Below are 23,803 nucleotides of genomic sequence, written 5' to 3'. Positions count from 1 at the left end.
ACTGAGGAGATGGTGACAGAGAGAGAAAAGAATGGAGGGGACCATCCCTTAGCCAACTCCTGGAAGTTCGTTGTATGTGGTCATCCAAGTGGGCAGAGTGAACAGGAGACCTGGCTGGGACCACCAGCAGCCAGCAGGACAGAAACATAGAGGAGGAAGAGAGAGCCCCAGTGATCACCTCGCCTGATCGGGAGAGTGTCTTCCCTCTGCTGGGCGGGCAGAAAGCATGTTCTAAAGACAGAAAATTTAGCAAAAAAGGGAGAAAGGGCTCCCCAGTTTCCTTTGCAACTTCTGCACCGTTTCTGTTTTGTTTTTGTTTTTGGTATAGCTCTGTGCCAGAAACAGCTTGCCCAATCGAGCATGTGAGGGAAAACTCATGGCCTCTCAGGCCACATCAAACAAAGCAAGGCCTTCAGCACAAGAGAGATTTTTGCTCTTCTTGGCAGGGATGACATCCTGGAGATTATAAAGGATTTGGGTCAGGGAGAGTCATCAAGAACATCCTGTTCCAGGAGCCCTGAGGCCCCGAGGCCCAGGATGGAGGACAGGTGACAAATACATTGCCCAGGGTCACACCACTGTTTCTTTCTGGTGGTTGAGTGTTAGCAGAGCCCCAGACTGATTTATTGATCAGGTTATTGGAAGGGCAAAGTCTCCCCCAGGCTTCCTGATTATCAGTCCAGAGCTCTTTCCACCTCCCCAGCTAACAGGAGACCCATGGTCTCCTCCAACCCTGTGGAACCTTCTTTTTTTTTTTTTTTCTTTTTTTTTTGAGACAGAGTCTTGCTGTGTCGCCCAGGCTGGAGTGCGGTGGCGCAATCTTGGCTCACTGCAACCTCCGCCTTCCAGGTTCAAGCAATTCTCCTGCCTCAGCCTCCTGAGTAGCTGGGACTACAGGCACACGCCACCACGCCCAGCTAATTTTTGTATTTTTAGTAGAGACGGGGTTTCACCATGTTGGCCTGGATGGTTTCGATCTCTTGACCTCGTGATCAGCTTGCCTCGGCCTCCCAAAGTGCTGGGATTACAGGTGTGAGCCACCACACCCGGCCATTTTCAGAAAATTCTTTCACAAATGATTAACTGACAACACAAAATGAAAATGTTGCCAGCTGGCTGCTGACCACATATGACAAACCACCTCTCCACCACTAAAGTCACCAGTGCCCCATTAACACTTGGGACATGGATCTCCTCAGTTTGTTGTTGGAACATTTGAGGAAATAGCCCAACTTAAAAAAAAAAGTTTTAAAAATGAGGTATAATTTATACACAGTGAAATGCTCAGATCTAACCTACAGAGTTTGATGATTACTGGCAAATGCATTCACCATGTAGCCATTACCCCAATTAAGATAGAAAGCATTTCATCACTTAGAAAGTTCCCTCTTGCCCTTTTCCAGTCAACCCCAATTGTTCTGATTTCTATCACCATAGATTGGTTTTGCCTTTTGTTGAATGTCATATAAATGGGATCATACAGTATACAGTCTCCTATGTCTGGCTTCCTTCATGCAGCATAATATCTGTGAGATTCATCTACATTGTTGTGTATATTAGCAGTCCCTTCCTTTTATTGTGGAATACTTTTCCATTGCATGCATATTCCACAATTTGTGTATCCATTTATCTGTTGTTGGATGTTACATTTGGATTTTTCCAGTTTCTGGCTACTAAGAATAAAGTTGCTGTGAACATTTAGGTACCAGTTTTTGTGTAGGGTGGATGGACATAGGTTTCATTTGTCTAAGGTAAAAATACCTAGAGGTGGAATTTCTGGGTCACAAGATACATGTATGTTTAACTGTATTTAAAAAAAAAAAAAGCCGGGAGTGGTGGCTCTCGCCTGTAATCCCAGCACTTTGGGAGGCCAAGGCAGGCGGATCACGAGGTCAAGAGATCGAGACCATCCTGGCCAACATGGTGAAATCCCATCTCTACTAAAAATACAAAAAATTAGCCGGGAGTGGTGGCAGGCACCCGTAGTCCCAGCTACTCGGGAGGCTGAGGCAGGAGAATCACTTGAACCCAGAAGGCAGAGGTTTCAGTGAGCTGGGATTGTGCCACTGCACTCCAGCCTGGGGACAGAGTGAGACTCCGTCTCAAACAAACAAACAAAAAAACCTCCATGAGGAGGGGGTGGCCACAGCTGTTACTGAAAGTAACCATTTTGGCTGGGTGCAGTGGCTTATGCTTGTAATCCCAACACTTTAGGAGGCTGAAGCGGGTGAATCACTTGAGGCCAGGAGTTTGAGACCAGCCTGGGCAACATGGAGAAACCCCATCTCTACAAAAAATAAATAAAAAAAAAAATTAGCGGGGCATGGTGGCAGGTGCCTATGGTCCCTGCTACTAGGAAGGCTGAGGTGGGAAGATCACTTGAGCTCAGGAGGCAGAGGTTGCAGTGAGCTGAGATGGCACCACTGCTCTCTAGCCTGGGCTACAGAACAAAACCCTGTCTCAAAAAACAACAACAAAAGTAACTGTTTAATTTGCTGAACTAACCAATAGATTTCATAATTGGTGCTAACTTTGGGTTGTACCCAAGAAAATGCTTCTTCATGTTACTAATGGAAGCGGACTAAGTAAAGTTGAAATAGATACACTGAGATTATTTACACCAAAAGTTTGACCAAACCTTTTGGAAATTTGCCTTAAGCTCCACTGATTACAATTAAGCAGGATGATTCATTAAGAATGTAAATAATGGAAAGGTCAGCCTTTGAAAACCAATCTGAGTGCTGAATTTTTACTGCTGTAGACTTAGTCTTACCCCAGGAAAGATAAACGGAATTCTTTGTAACTCAAGGGACAAGTTGCCTGGGCTTTCACTCTCTTGTAGATGTACCTTCAAGCCCAATTGTAATAGAAAATGGCATGATGAAGCTTTTGTGTTTGGGGAATTTGAACGGGAAAAATGGGTCTGACTCTGGCTGGCCCCCGGGGAAGTGGGGCAGAGGAAAATGGCTTCTGGCCCTACATAGAGGTGTTGCAGTCTCACCAACCCACCTTAATGTAGCAGTTTCTCTTTGTCTTAACTGGTACCCCAGGTCCTTTGTCCTATGTCCAAGAAAATTAGGAACGCAGACACAAACATGGTGTTGGAGGGAAAGTTTAATAAGTGAAAGAAATAAAGCTCTCTGCAGCAGAGAGAGGAGTCAGAGTGGATTGCCAGGTTACAGCTGAGAAACCCCTCTCATCTCTGTAGCAGTTTGAGTAACTTCTCTTATCAGTAAGGCTGTCTGTGCGACGCCCCTTATCTCATGCAGCTGTGGGTATGTTTTTAGGTAAGCACAAAGCACAGCTTCTCTTGTTTGTATACTGTGAGTTTGTTTTAGGTAATCCCCCCTCCTCCGTGTGCAAGTTCTCACCATGTATCTGACTGAAAAAGGGAGAAAATTTTTTCCTGGGAGCTTGCTAATTAGACAAAGAATAAAGAACTCCTGTGCGGGATCCTGTTTGTTTATCTGTCCAGGTCCAGCCTGAGTTTTGTTTTGTTTTATTTTCCCCAGGTTGTTTTATTTTTGTCTGTTCCAGCAACTTTTCAGGCAGGCTGCTTCTGCACTCTGAATTTTTCCCAAATGATTTTTCCCACTTTCCTTCTCCCTTAGAGGCATCCTGAACTACTCTGTTTGTCTTGGCAAAACCTTAGAGAAAAGGCTGCAGGTGTCTGGTTAGGCTGAAACTAGGGACTGTGGCCTAAAAAGCTCATGTGAGAGGCTGGACTAGCTTAATCTGTAACCGGGGAAGTGGGATCATCAGAACTGGAAGCTACACTGGGAGCTGAATTGTAGGACAGCAGCAGCAGCAGGTTCCTGGGAGGTCTCCGGGGACCAAGACTGCAGACATTGAATTTCCTGGCAATCTTGGTTGTCCTCTGTATAAATGAATCATTGTTTATCATTCTGCAGACGCTTCTGGTGTTAGAATTTTACACTCATACCCTTTGTTATGTGATTTTGCAGTGCCCTCCATTAGTGTGAGTGCAGTATACCTCCACCAAGCCCGGCAGCCCTGTAGCCTGATGCAGAGCCTCCCAGCCAACCCACAGCCCTGAGGGCAAGGAAAACAAAAGCTCATTGTTGTATGCTCATGGTTTGTTATGCAGAATTATTATAGCATTTGCTGACTGATACATCTACCAAATACCTGGTCTTTTCTTTCATAATAATGCAAACCCCAATTTTTAACTGGCTCTTTGGAATAAGGCTAAATTTCCCAGCCTTTCTTACAGCTAGATATGATCATACTAGTGAGTTCTGGTCAATTAGATGTTAGTAGAAGTGGTTGGGCATGGTGGCTCACGCCTGTAATCCTAACACTTTGGGAAGCTTAGGCAGGCGGATCATTTGAGGTCAGGAGTTTGAAACCAGCCTGGCCAACGTGGTGAAACCCCATCTGTACTAAAAATACAAAAAAAGTTAGCCAGGTGTAGTGGCGGGCGCCTATAATCCCAGACACTCGGGAGGTTGAGGCAGGAGAATTGCTTGACCCCAGGAGGCGAAGGTTACAGTGAGCCAAGATCGTGCCACTGCACTCCAGCCTAGGTGACAGGGTAAGACCCCATCTCAAAAAAAAAAAAAGTTAGTAGAAGTGTTTGTGGCAACTTCTGAGACCTTTCCTTAAAAGCCAATGGCATGCAATCTTCATCTCTGTCTTCATCCTGCTGTCTGGAACAAGGATATAACAGCTGGAGCTCTAGCTGACATTTTGTATCCTGAGAAAGTTGCTCGTGCCCTAGGGAAGATGGAGCTGTGAGCTACCTGGAGCTACCTGGATTATTCTATGAGAGAGAAACAAACTGTTCTTTAAGCCTCTTCATCTCTACCATTCCCCTGCCGAACTTACTCCTGACACAGTTCTCAAGCCAGCTCTTACTAAGTCTGAAGAATAATTGTGATATTACTTATGAGCAGACTACTGACTATTGTGTAGCAATGATCAACTGTTATCTATACAAAGCAAAATGGGTACAGCACCAAATAGTTTAAAGTCGATCTCTCAGGAGGGAGGATAGAGAGTGATTGATAACAGTATTGGTTCCATTAGGAGTTATAAAAATGTTCTACTATGAAATAGTGGTGATGGTTGCACAACTCTGTGAATACACTAAAAAACAGAACTGCATACTTTAAAAGGGTGAATTTTGGCCCAGTGTGGTGGCTCATGTCTATAATCCCAGCACTTTGGAAGGCCGAGGCAGGAAGATTGTTTGAGCTCAGGGGTTCGTGATCAGCGTGGGCAACGTGATGAGAGCCCGTCTCCACAACAAAATTTTATAATTAGCTGGGTGTGGTGGTGTGCACCTATAGTCCTAGCTACTTGGGAGACAAAGGTGGGCGGATCGCTTGAACCTAGGAGGTCGAGGCTGAAGTGAGCAGTGATCATGCCACTGCACTCCAGCCTGGGTGACAGCAGAGTGAGACCCTGTTTCGAAAAAAAGCGGGGGTGGTGAATTTTATGGTACTTGAATTATATTGCAATAAAGCTGTTACCAAAAAAATCAATCTCTTGTTTATTGTTTATGCCTTTGTCTTGTTTTTGTTTGTTTGTTTGTTTTGAGATGGAGTCTTACTCTGTCACCCAGGCTGGAGTACAGTGGCATGATCTCGGCTCACTGCAACCTCCGCCTCCCAGGTTCAAGCAATTCTCCTGAGTAGTCAGCCTCCCAAGTAGCTGGGATTACAGGTGCCTGTCACCACACTTGGATAATTTTTGTATTTTTAGTAGAGATGGGGGTTTTGTATTTTTAGTAGAGATGGGGTTTCACCATGTTGGCCAGGCTGGTCTCGAGCTCCTGACCTCAGGTTATCCACCCGCTTTGGCCTCCCAAAGTGCTGGGATTACAGGCGTGAGCCACCGCACCTGGCCTATTTATGCCTTTGTGAGGGATGTATTATTTCTCCCACTTTACAGTACACAAAACTAAGGCTCAGAGAGCTGAAGTGACCCTCCCAGTTTATACACCTCATAAATGTCAAAGACAAGGCTGGAACTCAGGTATCCTGACACCAGCACTGTGATGCTTCCTTTCCAACCCCCGAGTGTGTTTGGCCCTCCTAGGGCCATGAGGCATCTGGATTCAAGGACTATTAGACAACTTTGAGTGATGGGTCAAGCTTGTTTTCAGCTCTTCCTTTCAGCACCTTCTCTTCTGGCTCCCCCATCCTCTGCTCGCCCGCTTGTCATGCCAACAGTCCTGGTTGCTCAGGGTCCCTGCGTGCTCTATTTGACAAGCATTCTTGCCAAGAAATAGAAAAAGATATTTGACTGATCTAAACCAACATAACACAATTGCAAATAGGTTTTCCCATGTTGCCATGTACCCCAACTCTCACATGTCCCTATCCCCAGTAGCTGGAGGTGTAGGACCTTACCATCTGGGGGAATTTCAATTGACAGCAACACACATTTATGGGAGGGTTCTTTGAACCAGCCACTTTGATGGATGCTTTTAGATGCGTTCCTACTGAAACTTCCCCACAGTCCATGGAATATGAGTATAGCTGAGCCCATTTTACAGATAAGGAAACTGAAGCTTAGGAAAGGTTAGGTAACCTACCCAAGTTTTTGCAGATAGTGACCAAGCCAGCATTCCAACCCGGGTATCCTAATTTGAAATTCATCATTCTTTTCCTTATTTTGTATGTGCGTTTGTCAGTGTTCCCCATGAGGTCTAACACATTTCTGGAGCAAGGCAGGAGATATCAAGGAGGTGACAAAAAACAAATAAATGAAAGCCAGCCTTTGCCAGCTTGCCCAGAGGCCTTTTTTTCTTAAGGAAGATTTATGAATCAGCCCTCAACCCAAGCACACACATATGTGGCAACAAGACTCACTCTAAGGTTTTTGTTTTCAACAGAAGACAGCCAACTGCCTGGCATTGGCATGGTTTGTGCATAAAATGGGTAGGAAAAGAATGGGAGGAAGAGATGCAGCACAAGTTTTGCTTTATCTTCTTAGAGGCAACAAGGGCTGCTGAGGGGATGGAAGCCAAACATCCTGAGAGGGGAGTCACTTGAGAGAGTTTGAGGTTGATTAAGTTTCAAGGGAACTCACAAACTACAGAAGGAAAAGGAATGTTGGTAAAGTAATGGGCTGGCAAGATGTAGAAACTCTTGCCAAATTAATGCCATATGATGTTATTTACAAGACCTTACCTCCTTCCAAAATGGATTGTAGGTAGATGAACACTGGGCCCTTTGCTGGTATTGTGGTCACTACTTGGCCTGGGACACTACTCTACTGGCCCCAGTGCCACCAATGCTTTGCCATCAACCGCAGAAGGAATTCCAATTACTTTGTTCAGTCTAGATTTATTTATTTATTTATTTATTTATTTATCCATCTGAAGATGGAGTTTCACTTTTGTTGCCCAGGCTGGAGTGTAATGGTGTGATCTTGGCTCACTGCAACCTCCGCCTCCTGGGTTCAAGCGATTCTCCTGTCTCAGCCTCCTGAGTAGCTGATATTACAGGCACGCGTCACCACACCCAGCTAATTTTTTTGTATTTTTAGTAAAGACAGGGTTTCACCACATTGGCCAGGCTGGTCTCGAACTCCTGACCTCAAATGATCCACCCACCTCGGCCTCCCAAAGTACTGAAATTAAACATGTGAGCCACCATGCCCAGCCCAGTCTAGATTTCAAAGTCCCAGGTGGCCGGGCGTGGTGGCTCAAGCCTGTAATACCAGCACTTTGGGAGGCTGAGGTGGGCAGATAATGAGGTCAGGAGATTGAGACCAACCTGGCTAACACGGTGAAACCCTGTCTTACTAAAAATACAAAAAATTAGCCGGGGGTGGTGGCGGCCACCTGTAGTCCCAGTTACTCAGGAGGCTGAGGCGGGAGAATGGCGTGAACCCAGGAGGCAGAGCTTGCAGTGAGCCGAGATCGCACCACTGCACTCCAGCCTGGGTGACAGAGCGAGATTCCGTCTCAAAATAAATAAATAAATAAAAACTAAAATTTAAAAAAAGTCCCAGGTGAGGATCTGATTAGCTGTACTTGGTTTGTATATCTGTGTTCCTGCTACCAGAGGTCCAGGGGAGTTTTTCACTTTCTCAGCATCCAAGATGAGACCCTCACACAAGGGCAGATTCCCCACAATCAGGAAGTAGTCTCAGATGTCAACAATAATAACAAAAAAAGTCTACTATAATTGAGATAATGATATCTACTTCTTAGAGTTGCTGGGAGCATTGGATAAGATCATTCATTTATTCTGCCACAATTTATTGAGTTATTTCCAATACCCTAAGCACTGTGCTAGGTGTAGGGTAGTGCCTGTAAGTCCTGGCAAAAATAAGCACTCGATAAATAACAACTATCTTAAAAGATGCCATAAATGGACATGGAAAGGAAGCAAATGGTACCTAGAAGTTTTTTTTTTTTATTATTGATTTATTTGAGATGGAGTTTCACTCTTGTTGCCCAGGCTGGAGTGCAGTGGCGCGATCTCAGCTTACCGCAACCTCCGCCTCCTGGGTTTAACCAATTCTCCTGCCTCAGCCTCCCAAGTAGCTGGGATTGTAGGCATGTGCCACCACACCCAGCTAATTTTTTGTATTTTTAGTAGAGACAGGGTTTCACCGTGTTAGCTAGGATGGTCTCAATCTCCCAACCTCAGGTGATCTGCCTGCCTTGGCCTCCCAAAATGCTGGGATTACAGGCATGAACCACCATGCCCAGCCGGAGGATTTTTTTAGTTGAATATTCAACTGAGCTCTGATCTCTGAGCTTCCTGGAAGCCAATGGGAGTAGTAATTCTAACAACAATAACATCAAAGAGCTAATTTATTGGGTATTTTCTATGTGCTAGGCACTGTGCTAAACATTGTACATGTATTAACTCACTCCCAGTCCTCATGATAACTCAATAAAATAGATATGGTGATGATGATGATTTTACAGTCCAGCACATCTAACCAAGATCACCCAGTTAGTGAATGGAAGCACAAGGAATTGAACTCATATCTTTCTGACCGCAGAGCCCAAACTATTAACCACTGCCCTGTAATTCTCTCTAGCACCAAACATCTGGAATGAACTACGGAGGGCTGCCAGCTTCCATTGCCATAAGTCAAGCCTTTGTAAAGCTCCCAAGGTCTGTTTATAAAGGCTGAAAAGGCACATGATTTATCCCTTGCCATCTTTTCCACATTTTTGTTTACTAGGCTGGTTTGCATTTTATGCAATGGATTTAAAATTTCCCTTTCTTTAGCTTGCTTAGGAATAGTGGCAGAAGCAAGTGAGAAGGAAGTGAGAAGGTGCTGAGGATGGATGTGAAGCAAAACCTTTTACCCAGTCATGGTAGATTTGCCATGGCAGCGAGCCTGGCAGGAGATGGGCCTTTAATCATCTATTTTCCATTAATTCTTGGAACCAGTGCTTCCTTGGCACAATGGTGAAAAAAACAAGATTGGTTTTATGCTCAAAAATGTAGGGGCTGGAAGGGACCTTAGATCTTCTAGTCCAGTTGTTTCCAAGTGTTTTTAAAGCAGTGGAACCCATTCCTTAAAGGAAATTTTCACAAAAGCTCACATTCTAAAATAGACCAAACAGGAGCTGCTATGGCAGAAGTAAGGCTGGGGGCCCAGAGCAGCTTGAGAATCGCTGAGTCCGGCCCCCGTGATACAGGTGAGGAAATGGAGGCCTGAAAATGAGAGTGACTTGTCCATGGTCTCATGGCCTTTTAGTGGCAGAGTCAGCTCCCAGGCCCAGCACCTGTACCCAAGGCAGTGCCCTCTCTGCTAGAGCATGGCTCTTGGCTCCTTCCAACTCAGCACCTCCCCACTCAGGACTCCTCCTCCAGCCTCATGAAGGTAAAACAGAAGGAGCCATTTCACTAAAAACCCTAGAAGACATTGGAGCACAAGCAGTTCATCCCCTTAGAATCCTCTAACAGAGTGATGCTGAGCAGGGAGAGCTGCTCCCTTCCTTGTTGCCACAGGTGGCTGTGCAGCAGGAATGCCATGTCACATGTGCTTCAAGAGGACATGAAGAATTATTGATGATGCCTGGGGGAGGTGCAGTGGCCTGAGGACGTGTGCTAGGATGGAAATAGCAATGATGTCTGTGTGGTCAAGGTTCCATCAGGAAGTAAACAGCATCTCAAACTGGGTGTCTCAGGAGCATGTAGTGAAGGACCGCTTGCAGGGATGTGGGCAAGGTTAAGGGGTGGTGAAGCATGACAGAGCTAGCAACAGCAGGAAGCCTTTACCTCTCCTGGATCTGAGGGGGGCAAGGGCAGGTGTGTTTAGAATATCGGCCACTTGATAAGAGTTGCAGCCTTTGTTATGGGAATACCAATTTGTTATGGGAATACCAATTCATTGCAGGGAGAGAGCAGGATATAAATACTCTGATCTCATTCTCCTCTAGCCCCTGCCTCCAGTGCCTTTCGTTGGCTGAACCTGACCAGAAGCTAGGGCAAAGTAGACTGGATGATGCAATTCATAAAGGTCAGCATTTCAGGACACCAAGCATGGCAGAGGAGGGTGGAGAGGAGGGTCTGGAGGGATACTATGGCTTAAATATGTTCTCCAAAGTTCATATGTTGGAAACTTAATCCCCAGTGAAACAGTGTTAAGAGGTGGGACCTTTGAGAGGTGAATAGGTCATGAGGGCTTCACCCACATGAATGGATTAATGCTATGATTGTGGGAGTGGGTTCATTATCGTGGAGTTGGGAGTGAGCTCCTAATGGAAAAATGAGTGTGGCCCCCTTTGGCTCTTGCTGTCTCTTGCGTGTGCTCTCTTACCCTTCCATGTTCCACCATGGGATGACACAGCAAGAAGGCCTTCACCAGATGCTGACTCCCTGATCTTGGACTTTCCAGCTTCCTGAATTGTGAGAAATAAATTTCTGTTCATTATAAATTATCCAGTCTGTGGTATTATGTTATAACAGCACAAAATTGACTAAAACAAGGGGCACACAGAATATAACCAATGCAGTATTATCCAGTAGAAGCAGCAGTGTCCATCCAGTAGGCCTCAGAAAGAGCTGGCTACACTTGTTCATGAGTACATATGAGTCACTCCCAGAAATTCTCATGGGGCACAGGAACTTTGTAGGGCTGATGTAGGGAAGAACTTGAGAAATAAGGTCATAACTATGACCTCATTTATACCTACTGAGGCATGGGGAAACTTAGTACACTTTATTACTAAAGCCTAGCTCCCCTGAGATTGGCAGTGGTGGGATAATGTCTGGGTTAAAGGGGCAAGTGAGGTCCCCAAAGGTTTTCTTTGTCCCTGGAGACATCTTCATCTCCAGCATTCTTGCTACCATGGCAGCCACAGGGAAGTGTGGCTTTCTCCTTGCCTTTGATATCTACAATATTGCAATGCAATTCTGACACTAGCTATCCATAGTGGACCAGACTCCACAAGTTAAGGACACAGTCCTCGGCTGGGCACAGTGGCTCACGCCCGTAATCCCAGCACTTTGGGAGGCCGAGGCAGGTGGATCACGAGGTCAGGAGATCAAGACCATCCTGGCTAACATGGTGAAACCCCGTCTCTACTAAAAATACAAAAAATTAGCCAGGTGTGGTGGCGGGTGCCTGTAGTCCCAGCTAATTAGGAGGCTGAGGCAGGAGAATGGTGTGAACCTGGGAGGCGGAGCTTGCAGTGAGCTGAGATCGTGCCACTGCACTCCAGCCTGGGCGGCAGAGCAAGACTCCATCTCAAAAAAAAAAAAAAAAAAAAGGACACAGTCCTCAACAAAACTGCCCTCACTTCAGATGTCAGTCACAGTATGGGGTCCCCAGGCCACTTGCAGTTTTAATCAACTGGCTATAAATTCAGGGGTTCCTACTATCCCCTCATGTTTGATAATTTGCTAGAATGACTCGCAGAACTCAGGAAAGCACTATACTTATGATTTCAGTTGTATTATAAAGTGTAAAAATCAGAACCAGTCAAATGAAAAGACTTATAGGGCGAGGTCTAGGAAGGTCCCAAACATGGAGCTTCTGTGTCCTCCCCACATGAAACCAGGGCACATCACCCTCCCAGCATATCGATGTATTCACCAGCCAGGAGGTTTGCCTGAGCCTTAGTATCTAGAGTTTTGTTTGTTTGTTTTTTGTTTTTCTTTTTTGAGACAAAGTATTGCTCTGTCGCCAAAGCTGGAATGCAGTGGTGTGATCTCAGCTCACTGCAACCTCTGCCTCCTGGGTTCAAGCGATTCTCCTGTCTCAGCCTCCCAAGTAGCTGGGATTACAGGCATGCACCACCATGCCCGGCTAATTTTTGTATTTTTAGTAGAGACAGGGTTTCACCATGTTGGCCAGGCTGGTCTCAAACTCCTGACCTCAGGTGATCCGCCCGCCTCAGCCTCCCAAAGTGCTGGGATTACAGGCATGAACCACCGTGCCCAGCCAGTATCTAGAGTTTTTATTGGGGTTTCATTACATAGGCATGATTGAGTGACTCGGCCACATGATCAAACTTGATCTCCAGCTTCCTACCCCTCTAGGCTCAAATTCCAACCCTCTAATCACATATGTAGTTGGTCTTTCCAGCCTGGCCAGCCTCCATGGGCCCGCCATTAGTCACCTTGTTAGCATAAACTCAGGAGTAATCCCAGGGGCTCACCACGGATAACAAATATTCTTCTACCACTCAGAAAATTCCAAGGGTTTAGAAACTCTGTCCCATGAATCCAAAAACAAAGACCAGACAAACTATGACACAACAATATCTGTAGCACGGCTGTCACAAGGCAGAAACACTTCAGGATCTGACTAAAGGCTGGCACTGAGAAGGCGGGGGTTTTCCTTGGTCCCAGCCTGCTATGTTCTTAGCGACTGATTGGAGTGTTGTGTAGAGGCTTCTGTGGCTACATCCAGGACCAGCTGGAGGGAGTAATATGGTTAACCAGTCATGACAGCCCTTGCTAAGAAGAGGATAAGAAGGGGAAAGCAGGAGTATGCATGTTGGATACTTGCTAATCCTGGGCTAAGGGATTTTTTTCTTTTTTCTCTTTTTTTAAAGAGAACAACCGCAGAGTAATGAAAATGATAATGCTGTTTGCAAACAAAAGTTTGCTCTCATGAAAAGAATAAAAACCTGGGACTCCAATTCACTATGCCTAAAGGAAAAAATTAAGCTGAAAGCTGACTCATTCAAGAAACTGCCTTTCCTTTTGTTCCTAAGCAGATAGCTACAGAAAAAAAAAGAGCATGGTGATGTATGCCCAGTTACTTGGGAGGCTGAGGTGTGAGGATCACTTCAGCCCACTGCAGTCCACTCTGGGCAACAGAGCAAGACCCTGTCTCAAAAAAAAGGCCGGGCACGGTGGCTCACGCCTGTAATCCCAGCACTTTGGGAGGCCGAGGTGGGTGGATCACGAGGTCAGGAGATCGAGACCATCCTGGCTAACACGGTGAAAACCCATTTCTACTAAAAATACAAAAAATTAGCTGGGCGTGGTGGTCGGCGCCTGTGGTCCCAGCTACTTGGGAGGCTGAGGCAGGAGAATGGTGTGAACCCAGGAGGTGAAGCTTGCAGTGAGCCGAGATGGTGCCACTGCACTCCAGCCTGGGCGACAGAGCGGGACTCTGTCTCAAAAAAAAGAAACAAAAAATCACATTTACCCCAAATGATTGTCTTAATGAATGTGGGCCTCTTCCAGGGACTATCATGTCAACCCACCCATGTAGAGAGCTGATATTCAGCTCATACGTACTGGTTATCAGACCAATTGTTAAATGATTTGAAACACTTTCAGATCGTTGGTAAATCATTGCTGCTCCCCTCTCCCAGAGTGCCCGCCTATCATTCTGGCTTTCCTGGCCCCTCCCCTGGGACCACGATGGCTATATATAGTCATTTGCAGAGTGCAGTGCAAAATGAAAATGCAGAGCTCTTGTTCAAAAATGATTAGGCTGGGCATGGTGGCATATGCCTATAGTCTCAGCTATTCCAAACACTGAGGCAGGAGGATTGCTTGAGCCCAAGAGTTCGAGGCTGTAGTGCACTATGATCACACAGAGCCACCGCACTTCAGCCTGGGCAACATAGTGAGACTACATTTAAAAATATATATATTAATGCCCATAAAGCCAGCCCTGCCCACGTCCCTCTCCAGACCTCTTCACAATCTAATCGAAGGCTAGCTTCATGGCCAACATCCTTCTGATTAATAGTAGTTGGCAGAACACTTCAGCTGTTCACCTCCATTACCCCTGCAAATGCAGGAGGAGCATGTAATGTGACCAAGAAATCAATGTTTTCAGACACTGACCTTTGGGGGTTGTTACTGCAGCATAACTCAGTGCATCCTACTAACAGTCACCAACGCCCTTTAAGTTCCTAAATATTTGATTATCATTTTGCCCACATGGTTTTGTCTTTGCATCACAAACAGGACAACTGAGAGTTGTTTTTTGGCAGGAACATGGTTTGACTGTTACTGGAAACTCTTTCTCAGGATTACACAAGGCAAAACAGGATTCCCAAACCCTATTTTTTTTTTTTTTTTTTTTTTTTTTGAGACAGAGTCTCTCTCGGTCGCCCAGGCTGGAGTGCAGTGGATTGATCTCCGCTCACTGCAACCTCCACCTCCTGGGTTCAAGAGATTCTCCTGCCTCAGCCTCCTGAGTAGCTGGGACTACAGGCGCATGCCACCACACCCGGCTAATTTTTTGTATTTTTAGTAGAGACTGGGCTTCACCGTGTTAGCCAGGATGGTCTCGATCTCCTGACCTCGTGATCTATCTGCCTCAGCCTCCCAAAATGCTGGGATTACAGGCGTGAGCAACCACGTCTGGCCTCCAAACCCTATTTTCAACCAGTGTCCTTTGCCAATACAATGCAGCAGATGCTTTCTACCAATATTCAGATAAAATAGTAAAATGTGTATTTATAAATGTTTTAATATGTCACAAGATTAAAAGACTTATGTCTTCATTGGATGCTTTTCTTTTTGTTTTATTTTATTTTTATTTATTTATTTATTTATTTTGAGATGGAATCTCGCTCTTATTGCCCAGGCTGGAGTACAGTGGCACAATCTCGGCTCACTGCAACCTCCACCTCCCAGGTTCAAGCAATTCTCCTGCCTCAGCCTCCCGAGTAGCTGGGATTAGAGACATGCACAGCTAATTTTTGTATTTTTAGTAGAGACAGGGTTTCACCATGTTGGCCAGTTTGGTCTCAAACTCCTGACCTCATGATCCACCCGCCTTGGCCTCCCAAAGTGCTGGGATTACAGACGTGAGCCACCGAGCCCGGCCGTTATTGTATTTTTATTATTTGAGATAGTCTCACTCTCTCACCCAGGCTGGAGTACAGTGGCATGATCTTGACCCACTGCAGCCTCTACCTCCCAGGCTTAAGCAATCCTCCCACCTCAGCCTCCAGAATAGCTGGGGCTACAGGCGTGCACCATCGTGCCCAGCTAATTTTGTTTATTTTTTATAGAGATGGGGTCTCACTGTGTTACCCAGGCTGGTCTCAAACTCCTGGGCTCTGGCGATCCTTGTGCCTGGGCCTGCCAAGGTGCTAGGATTACAAGTGCGAGCCACCGCCTGGCCTTGGATGCTTTTCTTAAGTGAGTGCCTACAACTCTCACTTCTGATCTGATGTGGCTGCCCGAGGAGGAGGAAGGGGAAGAAAGCAGTAGTTTTAGCATTTCTTGATTTGTGCAGCTGATCTCCTTCCTAGAGGAAAATTGGGTGAGCAGAGAAAAGAACAAAAGGCTGAGGAGGGTTGGCGTCCAAGGGGAGCTCCCAGCCCCTCTCCACCCCTCCCTCTCCTACTCTATCCCACAGAGGAAGGGAATGGAGTTGGGGTCTGAATCGTCAGTGTTGATTAAGGAGCAGGGAATGTAGGATTAAAAAAATAATGTAGTGAGGAGTTCCAGGCAAGGGAGGGTGGGGCAGGGGATTGTTAGGGCAGTGAAACTACTCTGTATGATACTACAGTGGTGGATCCATGTCATCATACATGTGTCAGAACCTATGGAATGTGCAATGCTAACAGTGAATGCTAATGTAAACCATGGACTTCAATTAACAATATCATTATATCAAGATTGGCTCATCAGTTGTAACTAATGTACTATACTATGTTAATAACGGGCAACTTGGTGGTGGTGAGGGAGTATGTGGGAGCTCTGTGTATTTTCTGCTCAATTTTTCTACAAACCTAACACTGATCCCAAAACCGAAGTCTATTAGTTTAAAAATAATAAAATAGACATATATTGGGTGTCTAGCTATAGATTTCAGTTTTATTATAACTGAAACAACATTCTTGCTTCTCACTGCCTGTTATGACTCTTTTTCCACCAGGCCTCTCCTAAGCAACAGGATGGAAAGATAAAGGTAATATTGACTGTGAGCTAAGAAGAAAGACCAAAAGAGGCCACTTGGCCTGCTGTGACTTTGGACTCAAGGCCACTGTGTACAGTTGCCCAGGTGGTGCACTGCACAAGGACACCACATCAAAGAGGATACATTCTCCTTATAGTCATTAGAGCTTTGTATATTGATTATGCAAATTCCAATAAGCGCTTTTTTCTAATTTGCTCAAAGGCTAGTGGTGACCCTGTCTAGGCCCTAAGCCTTCTGAAGGGTGGGAGACCTCCAAGGGGCCCAGCCTTGCTTACCTAGAGGCAGTTTTGAGTTTGAGGGTGAAACCCCTGCACATTTTCCACTTTCCAGAACCTTGATGTGTGGCAGGTTATGACAAGACCTGTGCATGGGAAGCCCAGAAAGGTACATAAATGGAAAACTGTGAAACCTTGTCACCCAGGTGCAGAAAAGAAGAGATTGGCAAGAACTTGGGCTGGCTCAGACACAAGTTCAGGCATCAGAACCCACACATGGTTCTGGTTTCTAGAAGAACAGGCATGGTTTCTAGAAGGGCAGATTAATGTCGTGTATGAGCGTGTCAGTGGGTTCAGGATGCTGATGCCTGGGGGTAGAAACGGTGGAGGGCCTGCAGCTCTTCTCCTCCATCCAAACTGCCAAGACTGCTGAACTTTGGGCGTGCCCACATGAGACACAAGGGTGAGCTGCATCTGCCCTTCCGCCCCCATCTTTACACTGCTGATTCACTGCTTTGAGAACAAGCCCACATAAGACCAAGTATGCCCTGAACCTACGGGGGCCTGTCTTCCCATCTGCACATGGCTCTGGGTGTGGCCTTGCATGGGGGAGGCCTGGGGATTTGGCTGTCGTGGGACGTGCAGGTGGACAACTCTCTATGTAAACCTCCGTGAGTCCACTACCATGGCTTACAGTGATGTTTTATGTTAAAGGATTTTATGGGGAGATAACAACAATAACATTTTGGAAACAGGAAAGCAAACAAATGAGGAATATTTGACTGAAAGCCAAGTCTCGAGCTTGAATTGCGGAAGGCCAGAACCACTGTTTGACACCACAGCCTCCTCAAACCACAGACTTGGGGCTGGGTGCCGTGGCTCAAACCTGTAATCCCAGCACTTTGGGAGGCTGAGACGGGTGGATCACCTGAGGTCAGGAGTTCGAGACCAGCCTGGCCAACATGGTGAAACCCCACCTGTACTAAAAATACAAAAAAAATAGCCAGGTGTGGTAGTGGGTGCCTATAATCCCAGCTACTTGGGAGGCTGAGGCAGAAGAATTGCTTGAGCCGGGAAGACAGAGGTTGAAGTGAGCCGAGATCATTGCAACCAGCCAAGGTAACAAGAGCAAAACTCTGTCCCCCACCCCAACAAAAAAAGAAAAAAAACGAAAAGAAAAGACAGACTTGGAAGTCCCAGGAACGTGGGGACGTGGCAGGCGGTTCACGGCTTGTTAACATGGAAGGGACTAGGAGGAGAGCTGTGTGTGAAGTAGTTCCAGTTAGCGCATGTCAATTACTTAGTAAGCCATATTTACACTTGGTGAGCAATCTATGGGGGTCTTTCTAGGTCTTTCTAAGGCTCCTTAATGCCCTCCTCAACTCCATTCCACTGGTCACCTTCCCTTCTCTCCCCTCAGTGGGCGTCTGGAGCTTTACTCTCTGGAAAGGGTGATAGAGGCAGGTCTCCGGACTGGAGCCCAAGATTGGTGAAGTGTGGGGTGTGGAATGGAAAACAGAGATGGAGGACAGATGTCACTGACTGCTAAACTCAGGGACTCCCAGCCTTTCTCACTGCACAGGGGCCACAGCGTGCTGGCAGCCTCACCCCACCTTCCAGGCAGGTCCCTGGAGGACTCCTCTCTGGGGAGTCTGAACAGCACAAGAGGAAAAACCTAAAGACACTGCTGCTTGGGTTCTGTGGGAAGCAGCAAGTCCAGACCCCCTACAGTCTGACCTGGTACCATCCACACATGCTTAATTAATAAGGAAGTGTCACCCATGGTGGGCCTTAGGGAATTTTAAGAGGACTTACAGAATTTGGGGTGGAAGGAATCATATAAGAAATGTGCAGAGGCTGGGCACGGTGGCTTACGCCTGTAATCCCAGCACTTTGGGAGGCCGAGGCGGGCGGATCATCTGAGGTCAGGAGTTCAAGACCAGCTCGGCCAACACGGTGAAACCCCATCTCTACTAAAAATACAAAAATTACCTGGGTGTAGTGGTGTGCGCCTGTAATCCCAGCTACTCGGGAGGTGGAGGCAGGAGAATCCCTTGAGCCTGGGAGGCGGAGGTTCGAGTGAGCCGAGATCATGCCACTGCACTCCAGCCTGGATGACAGAGCGAGACTCCCTCTCAAAAAGAAAGGGAAGGAAGGAAGGAAGGAGGAAGGAAGAAAGGAAGGAAAGAAAGAAAGAAAGAAGGGAAAGGAAAGGAAAGAGGGAGGGAGGATGGAAGGAAGGAAGGAAGGAAGGGAAAGAAAGAAAAAGAAAGAAGGAAAGAAGGAAGGGAAGGAAGGGAAGGGAAGGGAAGGGAAGAAGGAAAGAAGGAAGGAAGGAAGGGAGGGAGGAAGGGAGGGAAGGAGGGAGGGAGGGAGGGAGGGAGGGAGGGAGGGAGGGTGCAGAGACAGGATTGTGTGATGCCATTCAGAGACATGGTGAGTAGGGCACTGGGCCAGCCACCAGGCAAGGGTAGAAGGAAAAATAGGAAATGAGGTTGAAGAGGCTGGCTGGGACCAACAGGTGCCTGATAAAGGACCCTGGGGGTGAGTAGGTACAAGTCAAATTCCCCTTTCCAAGGCCACACACCCCGGCATGAGGCTGCATCAGCCAGGGGAGACAGTGCATCTAGCCCTGGAGACCAGAAGGAGGAAGACCTCTAAGGCTGGGCTTAGGAGACAGAATTTAGTTCAGGAGATAATGGGGAGCCTGCTGAGAGTTTAGAAACAGGGGAGGAACATGGGGGATTGAGTTAGACTTAAGGAAGAATTAATTTCTGAGCCAGACACTGTAAGAGGTGACGCTGGGCTACATCAAAATTAACTGGGAAACTCTTTCTGATGAACTGGTGTCTGTACAATAGGAAGAGATGGAAGACTAGAAAACAGGAATTGCTCAGAAAGGAATTGAGCTCTTTGGATGGGAAACAAGAACTCCGATGGAATGCAGGAGGAAGGATTGAGCAAGAGAGAAGGAAAGTGGCTGCCAACCTGTCCAAGTGGAGAAAAAGACCTTAAACACAACAGGGGACTTCATGCGTCTCTAAATGCTTTGGCAGGTTTCTTTGCCTACATCAGCCTCACACTGGAATGCAAGGAAAGAATTATATCCTTTTCCCACTGCTGTGGTATTTCAGCTGAAATCAGCCTCATCAAAGCAGCAACTATGTACCAAGGGGTTGACAAATAGAGGAAATTTGTGAAGCTGGGCTTCTTGGCAAGTGTTTTGTCCTTGGAAATTCTGTTCCTCTCAGCCTTCTGGGTAAGGACTTCCCTTACATAGCAACAAGGTCCATCGCCTTAGGATGACAGAGGGCAATGCCAGCAAATTGCCCAGCGAAGGAAGCAGCACCACTGAATAGGAAGTTGCTCCTCCTCCCCAGCCTGCCTGTAAACTTGAAATTTTTTCTTTTTTGCTTTTTCTTTTTTCTTTTTGAGACAGGGGCTCGCTCTGTCACCCAGGTCGGAGTGTAATGGTGTGATCACAGCTCACTGCAGCCTCAACCTTCTGGGCTCAAGTGATCCTTATGCCTCAGCCTCCTGAGCAACTGGGACTACAGGCATGTGCCACCATGCCCAGGTAATTTATTGTTTTTTTGTCTGTTTGTTTGTTTGCTTGTAGAGACAGTGTCTTCCTATGTTGCTCAGGCTGGTCTCAAACTCCTAAACTTGAGCGATCTTCCCATCTTGACCTCACAAAGTGCTGGGATTACAGATGTGAGCTGCTACACCCGGTCTGAACTTGGAATTAATTCCGTACTCTTATCGCTGAATAAAGGCATTGAAAGTTATGGTTACAAGTACAAATAACTGTCTAGAAAGGGGGCAAACACTTCATTACTAACCATTCACATCATGGTTTATTTAACAGGACTCAAAGGAGATAGGAGATTCCAGGATAAAGAATATATATTAATCACACTTTAGAGTACAGTGAAGACTTTCACAAGCATTATCTTGATCCTTAGAGCAATGCAGAGGGCCTTATGATTATCACTCTCTTACAGGTAAGGGAATCAGGACCCACAGAGGTTCAGTGACTTGCCCAAGAATACACTGGTAGCTGTCGGCAGAGCTGGGACTTGAATCCTAGGCCCCTGACCTCCAGTCCGATGTCCTTTCCTAGGTGTGGATGGTGGTGTGGGAGCTGTGAAGGTCCAGGGTTATGTGTGGTGGGGAAGGGTGTCCAGAGGACCTGAGAGGACAAGCTGGGGAACTGCTTTGGGCCAACCCCACCTGCTGGGTTGAAGTCACAGTCAGGTGCCCCAAATCTCACCTGTTGTCAAGGCCTCTTCCCACAGCTCTGGGTGAGATGGAAAAAGAGGAAAAGAAAATAGGTGGCAGTGAACTCCAGGCCATCAGTCCACCCCCAAACCCAACCTTCCATCCTGGTTCCTGGCTCCACTGGAGGGGCTTGTCCTGGAGAGCCAGCCCCACAGTCACTACGAGCTCAAGGTTTCCCTATCAGAAGCAAGACTGCAGGGTAAGGGCTGGGGAACTCTGTCCCCCCGACATGTGACCACGCTAGCTCAGAGTCCAAGGATGCTGAGGTGCTCAGAGCTCGGAGCTGCCTGCCTGTGTGTGAGCCCAGTCCGTGGGTAAACATGGAGGCTGCTCTTGGGGTAGGAGTTGGACACGCTCCACGACGGATTCTGCCTTCTGAGCTCAGGCCCTGGACAGATGTTTACAGGAACTATGAAAGAGATAAAGAAACAGCCATAACTCTGCATTCAAACACCTAGAGCCCAGATGGGCTGCCACTTGAGGCCAAAGCCACCCTTGTTCAAGGTCCGTGGGGTAGGGGAGATCCACGCACAGAGGAAAACGCCAGGGGATGGAACAATTTATAAGTTGTGGGAACTCTGGCCCCAACCTCAGGAGGGGACACCAACAAGACTTCTTTTATCTCTAGGAGGAAGGCTAAAGTGTTCTCTGAAGCTGGACTCCTTTGGGAATTCAGAGCTTTCCTGGCTCACCCCCCACGCACAGTGCACACGCACTTAGCAGTTTGTACACCATGACCAGAGATGCACAGATCCAAGGCTGCCCATCTAAGAACCTCAGCTGGAAAACCCAGGACCCAGAATGAGTCTGGGTGACCACGCCTCACCCCTTTCCCTCAGACCTCTCTGGGAAGAACAAGAGACTGAGCAAGGCCACCCCCTGTCCTACCCCCAACTCAGATCACGTCTCTAGTATACAATGTTAAAATAAATCACTGTTAAAAAAATTACTGGGAGGAGGTTGGATGCGGCAGCTCACGCCTGTAATCCCAGCACTTTGGGAGGCCAAGGTGGGCAGATCACCTGAGGTCTGGAGTTCGAGACCAGCCTGGCCAACGTGGTGAAACCCCGTCTCCACTAAAAATACAAAAATTAGCCAGGTGTAGTGGCAGCTGCCTGTAATCTCAGCTACTCAGGAGGTTGAGGTAGGAGAATCACTTGAACCAGGGAGGCAGAGATTGCAGTGAGCTGAGATCACACCACTGCACTCTGGCCTGGGCGACAGAGCGAGACTCTTATCTCAAAAAAAAAAAAAAAACGCATACACACACAAAATTAGCTGGGCATGGTGGCACACACCTGTGGTCCCAGCTACTCGGGAGGCCGAGGCATGAGAATCGCTTGAACCCGGAAGGTGGAGGTTGCAGTGAGCTGAGATCACGCCACTGCCCTGCAGCCTGGGGGACAGAGCAAAACATTGTCTCAAAAAAAAAAAAAATTACCAGGATGAGCATTCATCTGTCACCCATTAGAACGTCTTTTGTGCTTTAATGTTCTTAATGGCCTAATGAATGCAGCTTGCTCAACGTAGCCCTATGAAGGGCCTATTTGAGTCAGACTTGGTGGGGGATGCTGATGATACAAAGAGGAATTCAGTGTGATCATAGAAGCAGTCACAGTGTAGTCAGGGAAACACATACACTACTTGTCACCATTCAAGCCAGTGCTAAGTAGAGTTGTGGGAGGACAGGGAGGGAATTATTATTTCTGGAAAGAGAGGGAAAGTTGGGCAGCAGGTTTTGAGAGGAAGAGATGTAGGGGGCTTTGCACCTTTGCCAGACAGGACTCCTGATCAAAGGACAGCGGTGAAACACAGGTGTGTTGAAGAAGAGGCAAGACTCTCATAGGGCTGATGCATGACATCCGGGAGTCCTGGGGAAGGGGAGGAAAGAGGTGAGCTGGCCACAATCCCATTTACATCTGGGGCCCAGCAGAACATGGATTAGGATGGGGAAGAAAGTGTAAGAGTGAGAGATTCATAAGAGGACATTACAATATGAACACTTGGGCATTGTTAACAGAACTGACCAATTTCTCCCTTGAGAAGCAGTATGTATGGGGAGAAACACATCCAACCAGGGATACTGTTCCTAGCTCTGGCACTCACAGGCTGGGGGATGTTGGATAAGGAATTCCCTCCTGGGTCTCAGCTGGCACCTATATGGGTGTGAAAAATGTGTGCCTACCACTGGTGGGGTTTGATACTGCATCCCCCTAGCAGGAGACAGATGGCCTCATGAAAGGGGGTAGGTGAGGAGGGCTTAATGAAGGGACTATTTATAAAGGGGTGGGCATAGTTAAGGGAGCCAAGAAGAGGTGGGGAAACTCGGGGGACTTGCAACAGCTGGAAGCATTGTCACTCTTGGACCTGAAGGAGCAAAAGGTTGAAACTCTTTCTACAGCCATGAGAGAGGGGCTGCCTGATGAGACCCATGGCCTTTGTTAGAGAATGCAGCTACTGCCAACTGGGGCAGGGTAGGGTGGAGGTCAGGGTGATAAATATCCCAACCTCTAACTATCCTCCAGTGCCTCTTGGCTGAATACACCCCGAAGCCAGAAGACAAGAGAACCAGTTGAGGTTAGCCTGTGGAGGGCAGCTTCTGAGACAGAGCAGGATGGGAAGTGGATCAGAAGGAGGAGTCAGTGGAAACTATCTCACACAGGTGGTAGGCTGACACATTTATTGTAATAGTTGTATGTTAATTTTAATGGGTAATAAAAAGAATATACCTTGCATATCAAACCTATGAGTACACAGCTGTTATTGCTTAGGATAAAGCTAAAGCAGATATTTAAATGAAAAAAGACAATTTAAAGAAAAATATAATAGTATGGGTGGTATGAGGATATGACAAAAATCACAAAGAGGATGTATGTAAAGATGAAATTTGGGAAATTCTGGGTAGGATGATATATAAGACTTCTTCCAGCTCTGACATTCTGGGTTTCTAAGTGTCT

The 23,803-nt window shown here is 46.8% G+C and overlaps 1 long non-coding RNA gene across 1 annotated transcript, besides 1 other annotated feature; it reads left to right on the top strand.

Annotated features, from left to right (window-relative positions):
- Window positions 352-401: an enhancer, noted in NCBI's record as "active region_16147". NCBI's record gives its function as "activates an Ori minimal core promoter by ATAC-STARR-seq in GM12878 lymphoblastoid cells {active_cell/tissue: GM12878}" and the evidence as "EXISTENCE:reporter gene assay evidence [ECO:0000049][PMID:35858748]".
- Window positions 19,636-20,505, top strand: LOC124906030 (uncharacterized). Its single transcript, XR_007087119.1, has 3 exons — window positions 19,636-19,824; window positions 20,005-20,142; window positions 20,434-20,505. It is a non-coding gene; the product is annotated as an uncharacterized LOC124906030 (long non-coding RNA).
- Window positions 20,506-23,803: the final 3,298 nt, after the last annotated feature.

The sequence above is a fragment of the Homo sapiens genome, chromosome 2 (genome assembly GCF_000001405.40).
Source record: "Homo sapiens chromosome 2, GRCh38.p14 Primary Assembly".
NCBI lineage: Eukaryota > Metazoa > Chordata > Mammalia > Primates > Hominidae > Homo > Homo sapiens.
Note: the sequence above shows the minus strand (reverse complement) of the source record. Positions and strands in the feature narration are given on the sequence as shown.